This window comes from Homo sapiens, chromosome 18, assembly GCF_000001405.40.
Source record: "Homo sapiens chromosome 18, GRCh38.p14 Primary Assembly".
Lineage (NCBI taxonomy): Eukaryota > Metazoa > Chordata > Mammalia > Primates > Hominidae > Homo > Homo sapiens.
The window spans coordinates 43,290,197-43,301,521 of NC_000018.10; positions in this window are offsets into that span (position 1 = coordinate 43,290,197).

The following is an 11,325-nucleotide window of genomic DNA, read 5'->3' on the forward strand; positions in this document are numbered from 1 at the left end:
TGATAAGCAACTTCAGCAAAGTCTCAGGATACAAAATCAATGTACAAAAATCACAAGCATTCTTATGCACCAATAACAGACAAACAGAGAGCCAAATCATGAGTGAACTCCCATTCACAATTGCTTCAAAGAGGATAAAATACCTAGGAATCCAACTTACAAGGGACGTGAAGGACCTCTTCAAGGAGAACTACAAACCACTGCTCAATGAAATAAAAGAGGATACAAACAAATGGAAGAACATTCCATGCTCATGGGTAGGAAGAATCAATATTGTGACAATGGCCATACTGCCCAAGGTAATTTATAGATTCAATGCCATCCCCATCAAGCTACCAATGACTTTCTTCACAGAATTGGAAAAAACCACTTTAAAGTTCATATGGAACCAAAAAAGAGCCCACATTGCCAAGTCAATCGTAAGCCAAAAGAACAAAGCTGGAGGCATCACGCTACCTGACTTCAAACTATACTACAAGGCTGCAGTAACCAAAACAGCATGGTACTGGTACCAAAACAGAGATATAGACCAATGGAACAGAACAGAGCCCTCAGAAATAATGCTGCATATCTACAAGTATCTGATCTTTGACAAACCTGAGAAAAACAAGCAATGGGGAAAGGATTCCCTATTTAATAAATAGTGCTGGGAAAACTGGCTAGCCATATGTAGAAAGCTGAAACTAGATCCCTTCCTTACACCTTATACAAAAATTAACTCAAGATGGATTAAAGACTTACATGTTAGACCTAAAACCATAAAAACTCTAGAAGAAAACCTAGGCAATACCATTCAGGACATAGGCATGGGCAAGGACTTCATGTCTAAAACACCAAAAGCAATGGCAACAAAAGCCAAAATTGACAAATGTGATCTCATTAAACTAAAGAGCTTCTGCACAGCAAAAGAAACTACCCTCAGAGTGAACAGGCAACCTACAGAATGGGAGAAAAGTTTTGCAACCTACTCATCTGACAAAGGGCTAATATCCAGAATCTACAATGAAGTCAAACAAATTTACAAGAAAAAAACAAGCAACCCCATCAAAAAGTGGGCAAAGGATATGAACAGACACTTCTCAAAGGAAAACATTTATGCAGCCAAAAAACACATGAAAAAATGCTCATCATCACTGGCCATCAGAGAAATGCAAATCAAAACCACAATGAGATACCATCTCACACTAGTTAGAATGGCGATCATTAAAAAGTCAGGAAACAACAGGTGCTGGAGAGGATGTGGAGAAATAGGAACACTTTTACACTGTTGGTGGGACTGTAAACTAGTTCAACCATTGTGGAAGTCAGTGTGGCGATTCCTCAGGGATCTAGAACTAGAAATACCATTTGACCCAGCCATCCCATTACTGGGTATATACCCAAAGGACTATAAATCATGCTGCTATAAAGACACATGCACACGTATGTTTATTGCAGCATTATTCACAATCGCAAAGACTTGGAACCAACCCAAATGTCCAACAATGATAGACTGGATTAAGAAAATGTGGCACATATACACCATGGAATACTATGCAGCCATAAAAAATGATGAGTTCACGTCCTTTGTAGGGACATGGATGAAACTGGAAATCATCATTCTCAGTAAACTATCGCAAGGACAAAAAACCAAACACCGCATATTCTCACTCATAGGTGGGAATTGAACAATGAGAACACATAGACACAGGAGGGGGAACATCACAGACCGGGGACTGTTGCGGGGTTGGGGGAGTGGGGAGGGATAGCATTAGGAGATATACCTAATGCTAAATGACGAATTAATGGGTGCAGCACATCAACATGGCACATGTATACATATGTAACAAACCTGCACGTTGTGCACATGTACCCTAAAACTTAAAGTATAATAATAATAAAATTTAAAAAAAGAAATTAGAGGAAAATATTGTGAACTGAATGATAATGATAACATGTCATATCAAGATCTACAGAAAGTAGCTCTAAATGTGCTTAGAGAGTATATGGTTTATACTCTCCAGGTATACAATTCCTGATAACATTGACGGGAAAAAAGACGGAAGAATGCAAATTACAGATGACTTGAGAATAAAAAAGGCAAGGCACAGGGTAGAAGTTAGAGAGTATATTTGCAATGTATAATCCTGACATAGGAATTGTATCCAAAATATTTAAAGAAAAATCAATGTTTAAAAGACAGACATTTCAATAAAAAATGGACAAAAGTCTTGTAGCGACACTTTACTAAGAAAGACATAATATCCCAAAGGTAGATGATGATAGGAAAGTAGCTTGGCATCGGCAGTCACTAAAACCATGCAAATTAAAATCACACATAATGTAGGTACTAAACACCTACTAAAAGGATCGATGGAGTAGATACTAAGGGTTGACAAAAATATAAGGCAACAAGGGAAGCTGTCTTAGGGTGTTTATATTAGTACAAACATTTATAAAAAATATTTTACAGCATTTAGTAAGCAGAACATAGCCACACATTAAGGCCCTCCAATTCCACCTATTGCTAAATTCTAAGTTGAAATGACTGGAGTGTTCATAGTAGTATTATTTGCAGTTGCCAAAAATTAGAAAGAGCTGGCTTTTCCTATCAGTATTAAATTGGATAAATAAGTGTATTCAGTAGACTATTATACAGAAATGAAAAAGAAAATGCTGCTACATATAACAAAAATACATTTAGTAAATATAATATTAAATGTTAAGCAGAAAAAGAGTGCATAATAAGTGATTCCACTTATTTAAATTTTATGAAACAAGAAACACTAGTCAATAGTGGTAAAATTCATTTAGTGATTATATTTGTAGGGGTCAGTAACTGGTATGGAGCACATAGGCGGTTTCTGGGTTGTTGATATTCTCTATATTGATCAGGGAAGAGGATATAAGGTTTTTTATTTGTTTTTAATTCATTAAGTTGACATGTTATAATTTGTGTACTCTTCTTTATATATGTCAAAAAGTTTAACAGAAGTTATGTGTGTACATAAACTTAACATTGCTACATGTTTTACAAAGGTAAATATATTTTTAAGCACATGTTTATAAATGCCTACACATGCTTATAGATGCCTATAAGGGAGAAGAATGTGACTGGTAATTGGACTTAAAGAAAAAAATAAGTAAAATTAGAGATGAACTATGTGTAGATTTAAGATGTATCTATGGGTTTTTTAAAAATAAAACCTAGTATTCTTCTGAGCAATCTTTAACTGTTTAGCTATCTACTCACTTTAAATTCTATCTCAGAGTCAAAGATTGGCACTTACCTTTTGTATTTACAGTAACATATTAACTCTGAGCCGTTTCTTTTATCCCAGTATACATATTGTAAAAATAGATGGTTAGTAGGAGGAAAGAAGTAAGAAAAAACTCTGCATAAAGATTGTATGAAGACAATGTATATGAAATGTGAACTTCTTGAACTTTTACATAAAATGAATATTCATTTCCAAATGTTCTTCACCGTGGTCTCAGCCTTAGCAAATGAAACGTAGAAGATGAAAGTCCCAGATTTCACCCAAGAATCGTAGGAGCTGCATAGCATGTGAGGAGTCCGATTATATATATAACTCAGCTAGGGATAAAGTTCAAGGAGCTGGAATAATTATGTAGCATCAGAATAGTGGAGTAAGGATTTGAAAGTATAGAACTCCATGACCTGCAAGCTTCCTTTCAATTATTAGGTGCTATAACCTTTTCTCTACCCCAGATAAAATACCTCTGATTTCCACATCATTGAACACTATCGGGTGTTACTTCCAAAGCCAAAAATCCACATGTAGCAATCAACATGCCCGGTCTCCCCGCAAAAAGATGAAATATATCTTTGCTTCCTCATCCTTGCTTTATATATACTTCCCTTACTTCACGGTAGTCACTTCTTCACACGAATTTAACATTCACCTGCTTATCGTTTTTCTCCTCTTCCCTTCACAAACTTATATCTACTCTCAAGTGAAAAACTAGTAACAGTTACTTATAGCACATCTTGAAATAAAATATTTTTGTGACTGCTCTTGAGTATATATGTATTTTAAAGACTTATGTCTGTGAATGGAACCAAATACTGTTCTATACTCCAGGAAGTTATGAAAAGGGCAAAATCATCTGTGTCCTTCCTTGAGCATCTAAAATCATGTAATAGTCATGCTATTTTGTCTATTTTTACAGTATATTTCCTTAGAAAGCAGGACACACACTCATAAGCAATAGTGGAGAAATTAAGATCAAAATTTAACAATATGATTTAATAGTGGCAAGGAAGAAAAAAGAAAAAATATTGAAAGGTTAACTTGGGAAATCTTCAATATCTGAGAAGATATCCTCCAATAAAGAAAGGAAAAGTCAATGATAGCTTAATGAGTCAAACCACAACTATTAAAATGTTATTTTTTTAGGTGACAGTGGCTAATCCCAGTTAGGAATTACTGAAATTAATTTAGTCTGGTTTGCACATTTTTCTAACCCCTTCCTTCCTTTACTGAAATTAATTATTTTTAATTGAACTATAATCTACTTATCCACTTTGGGCATACAGCCACATTTAGTGGATTTGATGCGCTGTCATGACTTTCAAAATTGCTGATTATTTCTACTGAAATTGTAGAAAATTATTAAATGTCATCTAAACATCTAAGGTTAAATTTTTGCCAATATCCAGGATATAGCATAGGCCAACAAATAAAAGACAAAAAGGAAGAAAAGGCAAAAACAGATACAATGGTAAAGGAGTAGGGAGATGGGAGAGAAGATAGCAAGACCATAGTGGAAAGGAAGAAGCTAGACAGAAAGATGAGTGAGAAAGCAAGCAAGAAAGGAAAGGAGGAGGGAAGAAGGGAAAAAAAGAGAGAGTATAACTGGCAACAAACCAAATGTCCTTCATTGGATGAAAAATAAACCATGAAGTCTTGTAATAAGTTTGTGTATTATTTGATAAGAAATTGCCAGGCCAAGCGCTGTGGCTCACACCTGAAACGCCAGCACTTTGGGAGGCCAAGGCAGGCAGATCACTTGAGGTCAGGAATTTGAGACCATCCTGGCAAATATGGTGAAACCCTGTCTCTACTAAAAATACAAAAACATTAGCCGGGCATGGTGGTGTACACCTGTAGTCCCAGCTACTCAGGAGGCTAAGGAAGGAAAATCGCTTGAACCGGGAAAGCAGAGGTTGCAGTGAGTTGAGATCAAGCCATTGCACTCCAGCCTGGGTGAGAGAACAAGACTCCATCTCAAAAAAAGAAAAAAAAAAAAAAAAAAAGAAAAGAAATTGCCAAACCATTTTCCAAAGTGACTATGATTTTTGCATTCCCATCAATAATGCATGAGTGTTCCATTTGCTCTATATGCTCATCAGTATTTGGTAGTGTCTGTATTTTTAATTTTGGTCATTCGACTAGGTATGCAAGCTACGTAGTGATGCCTTATTGCGGTTTTCATTTGCATTTCTTTTATGGCTAATGATATTGAACATCTTTTCATGTGCTTACATGCCATCTATGCTCTTTGGTGAGGTATCTCTTTTAATTCTACATCCACTTTTTAAAATAGAATGTTTCATTTTATTACTGCTAAGTTTTGCGATTCCTTAACATATTCTAGTGGACTATAGATATGTAGATACCTTCTGTTGCAGGTGTGATTTACAGATATTTCCTACCAATCTGTACCTTGTCTTTGCATTGTCAAAAGTATAATTTACCATGTTTCTTCTTTATGGATCATGGTGTTGGTATCATTTCTAAAAACTCAGCCTAACCTCAGTCAGAAAGACTTTATTTTAAAAGTTTATATTTATTTGCGTTTACATTTAGATCTATAATTCATTTGGAGTTAATTTTAGTTAAGGTCTGATGTTTAGGTCTGAGTTCAGTTTTGTTTAGATATGGATTACCAACTGTTCCAACATAATTTGTTGAAAAGACTTTCCTTTCTCCATTTAATTGCTTTTGTATCTTTGTCAAGATGAAATGACCATATTTGCATGGGTGTATTTCTGGACTCTATTCTATTTATCTATGTATGTATAACTTTTCCAATACCACACTGTATATCTGTAGCTTTATATTAAGTTTTAACTCCTATTAATGTGATTCCTCCAACATTTCATTCCCAAAATTTTTAGCTGTTCTAGTTCCTTTGCCCATTCATATAAATTTTAGAATGAACTTGTCTAAATCTACAAAACTTCATCTGGGGTTTGGATTGATATTATATTAAATCCAAAGATCATTTTGAGAAGAATTGACATCTTTACTGTGCTGAATCTTCCAAACCATGAACCTGGTAAGTCTATTTATTTAAGTTTTCTTTGTTTTCTTTTTTTCAATCCACATTTTGTAGTGTTTCAGATACAAACCCTGTACATATTTTGTTAGATTCATGCCTAAGTATTTTATTATTTGTAAATATATTATCATGATAATGTGTTTTAAATTTTGGGTTTTAAATGTTCATTGTTTGTGAGGAGAAACAAACAATTGAGTTTTCTGCATTGCCTTTATATCCTATGACCTTATTAAGTTCAATTGTTAGTGCTGGAAGATTTATTTTTTATTATTCACTGTGATTTTCTGCATCAAAAACATCTCATCTGTATGGTTGTAGAGTAGAACAAAATTCCATTTTGGAATATTAGTTTCCAAAATAAATTGTTATTAGTGGGCTGATTTACTCAGGAGCAAGCACAGGAAAATGTACAAATGTCTCTGCATCATGTAACTGCAACAAAAGTTTATCTGAAAAGGAAAGATTTAAACAGATTCAGTGAGTATAGAAGGTAAATCTTAGTAGTGTTTGTACAAGACAGTAGTGGCTAAAATATTGGAAATAGCTTAGCAAGAGTTTGTGGTACAGCCTGAACACCAACATAATGGGCTTGTACTTGTTTGAGTTGTTCATCCAGTAAGCATCTATTAAGCATCTGTCAACCCATAGACATTCAAGGACTGAAAATAGAGAGATGAATTAAAATATCTGAGTCTACATTTAAGGAGAATATGTTCCAGTGAGAAAGATAAGTTTATTAACAACCAAAAAGTACAATAACATGTCATCAGTGCTATAAATGGATATGGACGTTGACTCATTCTAGCCTATTGATGATTTGAAAGCATTTTATGCTTTACAGGGATAAAGAGTGATATGTTTAATGTAGCTTTAAATTAATCTAATCCCATCTTGAGAGTAAATAAGTTTTATTTCAGTCTATTATCAATATCCTTCCAAATCCAATCATTTATGAATTATGCTTTATCCGTCCAGAAAGTATTGATCCACATCAACCAGGCTTGATGCTATTATTAGCAGTATTTGGAACTATCTCAAGTTTGAGTCAGGTCCTCATCGAACTTTTCATCCCATTTCAATCTAGAAACCAAGCTCATTTCTGGCATTGTAAACCTTTGTTAGTCTCCTCTCTTCTCTTGTTGATGGAATTAACAAAGACAATCAATATTCATCTATGGAGCATATATAGCAACATAGGTATGTTTTAGAAAATGGGACTAAGTGATCTCATCTCCCCTATGAAGTGAGATTGACAGTTCTTTTGTTTTGTTTTGTTTTGTTTTGTTTTCAGAAACTCATTCTATTGGATAAACAGATTTTGTTACCACATTCTAGATTAAAATTACTGAAGAAATTTAGAGAACGGAGAAATCCAATTCTGCAGGCTTCTCCTCCTGATATTGCATTTTCATCTTTTAAACTTTATATTAGTTTCTTCCAAACTCCTTCTAAAGTTTCTCATTTACTTATGTCTTCCAAAGTGAATGATGAAGAATTAAAGGAGATAGAAGATGTGAAGGGCGGATTCAAACTCTGTTCCCTGCTTTTGCAGCAACATTCTCCTTCCATATGGCCAGGATAAGAGCATTACTCTGTTTGTCTGTTGTTGGTGTATAAGAATGCTTGTGATTTTTGTACATTGATTTTGTATCCTGAGACTTTGCTGAAGTTGCTTATCAGCTTAAGGAGATTTTGGGCTGAGACGATGGGGTTTTCTAGATAAACAATCATGTCATCTGCAAACAGGGACAATTTGACTTCCTCTTTTCCTAATTGAATACCCTTTATTTCCTTCTCCTGCCTGATTGCCCTGGCCAGAACTTCCAACACTATATTGAATAGGAGCGGTGAGAGAGGGCATCCCTGTCTTGTGCCAGTTTTCAAAGGGAATGCTTCCAGTTTTTGCCCATTCAGTATGATATTGGCTGTGGGTTTGTCATAGATAGCTCTTATTATTTTGAAATACGTCCCATCAATACCTAATTTATTGAGAGTTTTTAGCATGAAGGGTTGTTGAATTTTGTCAAAGGCTTTTTCTGCATCTATTGAGATAATCATGTGGTTTTTGTCTTTGGCTCTGTTTATATGCTGGATTACATTCTTATACACCAACAACAGACAAACAGAGAGCCAAATCATGACTGAACTCCCATTCACAATTGCTTCAAAGAGAATAAAATACCTAGGAATCCAACTTACAAGGGATGTGAAGGACCTCTTCAAGGAGAACTACAAACCACTGCTCAAGGAAATAAAAGAGGATACAAACAAATGGAAGAACTTTCCATGCTCATGGATAGGAAGAATCAATATCGTGAAAATGGCCATACTGCCCAAGGTAATTTACAGATTCAATGCCATCCCCATCAAGCTACCAATGACTTTCTTCACAGAATTGGAAAAAACTACTTTAAAGTTCATATGGAACCAAAAAAGAGCCCACGTCGCCAAGTCAATCCTAAGCCAAAAGAACAAAGCTGGAGGCATCACACTACCTGACTTCAAACTATACTACAAGGCTACAGTAACCAAAACAGCATGGTACTGGTACCAAAACAGAGATATAGATCAATGGAACAGAACAGAGCCCTCAGAAATAACGCCGCATACCTACAACTATCTGATCTTTGACAAACCTGAGAAAAACAAGCAATGGGGAAAGGATTCCCTATTTAATAAATGGTGCTGGGAAAACTGGCTAGCCATATGTAGAAAGCTGAAACTGGATCCCTTCCTTACACCTTATACAAAAATCAATTCAAGATGGATTAAACGTTAGACCTAAAACCATAAAAACCCTAGAAGAAAACCTAGGCATTACCATTCAGGACATAGGCGTGGGCAAGGACTTCATGTCCAAAACACCAAAAGCAATGGCAACAAAAGCCAAAATTGACAAATGGGACCTAATTAAACTAAAGAGCTTCTGCACAGCAAAAGAAAGTACCATCAGAGTGAACAGGCAACCTACAGAATGGGAGAAAATTTTCGCAACCTACTCATCTGACAAAGGGCTAATATCCAGAATCTACAATGAACTCAAACAAATTTACAAGAAAAAAACAAACAACCCCATCAAAAAGTGGGCGAAGGACATGAACAGACACTTCTCAAAAGAAGACATTTATGCAGCCAAAAAACACATGAAAAAATGCTCATCATCACTGGCCATCAGAGAAATGCAAATCAAAACCACAATGAGATACCATCTCACACCAGTTAGAATGGCAATCATTAAAAAGTCAGGAAACAACAGGTGCTGGAAAGGATGTGGAGAAATAGGAACACTTTTACACTGTTGGTGGGACTGTAAACTAGTTCAACCATTGTGGAAGTCAGTGTGGCGATTCCTCAGGGATCTAGAACTAGAAATACCATTTGACCCAGCCATCCCATTACTGGGTATATACCCAAATGACTATAAATCATGCTGCTATAAAGACACATGCACACGTATGTTTATTGCGGCATTATTCACAATAGCAAAGACTTGGAACCAACCCAAATGTCCAACAATGATAGACTGGATTAAGAAAATGTGGCACATATACACCATGGAATACTATGCAGCCATAAAAAATGATGAGTTCATGTCCTTTGTAGGGACATGGATGAAATTGGAAACCATCATTCTCAGTAAACTATCGCAAGAACAAAAAACCAAACACCGCATGTTCTCACTCATAGGTGGGAATTGAACAATGAGATCACATGGTCACAGGAAGGGGAATATCACACTCTGGGGACTGTGGTGGGGTGGGGGGAGGGGGGAGGGGTAGCATTGGGAGATATGCCTAATGCTAGATGACGAGTTAGTGGGTGCAGCGCACCAGCATGGCACATGTATACATATGTAACTAACCTGCACAATGTGCACATGTACCCTAAAACTTAAAGTATAATAAAAAAAAAAAGAATAAAAAAAAAAAAAAGAGCATTACTCGAGGGTGGTTGTTGGTATAAAAAATGAAGAAAGAAAAATTTTGTCTTCAGCATTTCTTTGTTCATTGTCTACATTTTCTCCTTTTTTTTTACTTTCTCATCTTTCAGGCATACAGGACTCCTAGAATTTACCACACGGTGCCTCACACGGAGTAAGGAATTTAGTTGCACCCAAACTTCATTTCCCCTTCACTTTTTTCATTTCTATTTTCACCTTCCTGGGCTTTTCCTTCTCCTTGCCCAGACTTATCTGATTAATTAGATTCAATTTAGTATTAGGTCATAATGGCTTTTCTGCAGTTTCTCCCCTCAGGTACTATTTATAACTTTTTTTTTTTCTCTGAGACAGGATCTCACTTTGTCACCCAGGCTGGAGTGCCGTGGTGTGATCTCAGCTCACTGCAGCCTTGATCTCCTGGGCTCAAGAGAGCTTCCTGCCTCAATCCCCCAAGTAGATGGGACTATAGGTGTGCACCACCACACCAGGCTAATTTTTTGTATTTTTGTGTTTTTATTTTTGTAGAGTCAAGGATTTGCCATGTTTCCCAGTCTGTGCTCTAACTCCTGAGGTCAAGTGATCTGCCCGCCTCAGCTTCCCAAAGTGGTAGAATTACAGGCCTAAGCCACCATACCTGGCCTGGCCCTATTTATAAATTAATTGTCACTGTATTTGCGAAACCATCTAAAGAAGTAAGCAGCATGAACCTTGTAAGAAAAGGTGGGAAAACAACTCAGTGCCATGGTGGGGGCACTATGTAAAACATCACCTTGACAATTTTTTTTTGTAAAACACTTCCCTGCCTTGAAGTTTCCTTGAATCTATCCTTTAACTCACTTTTCTTCATGATCAGGCATATGTTTGTTTGCCTGTTTTTCTTTATGTCAGAACATTTTGAATTCATGGAGCAGCTAGAAAAAATTCAGATGAATCTTGAAAACAAGTTCTCATCTAAGAAGGCAAGGATATAGGTAAATTTCTTTTGTTGCTTTTGCACCACCTTCAATAACTCTGGAATCCAAACTAAAATCTGAAGACAGATACCTGGAAATAAATTCTCAGACACAAATTAGGAATTTGCACTCAGGATAAGAATT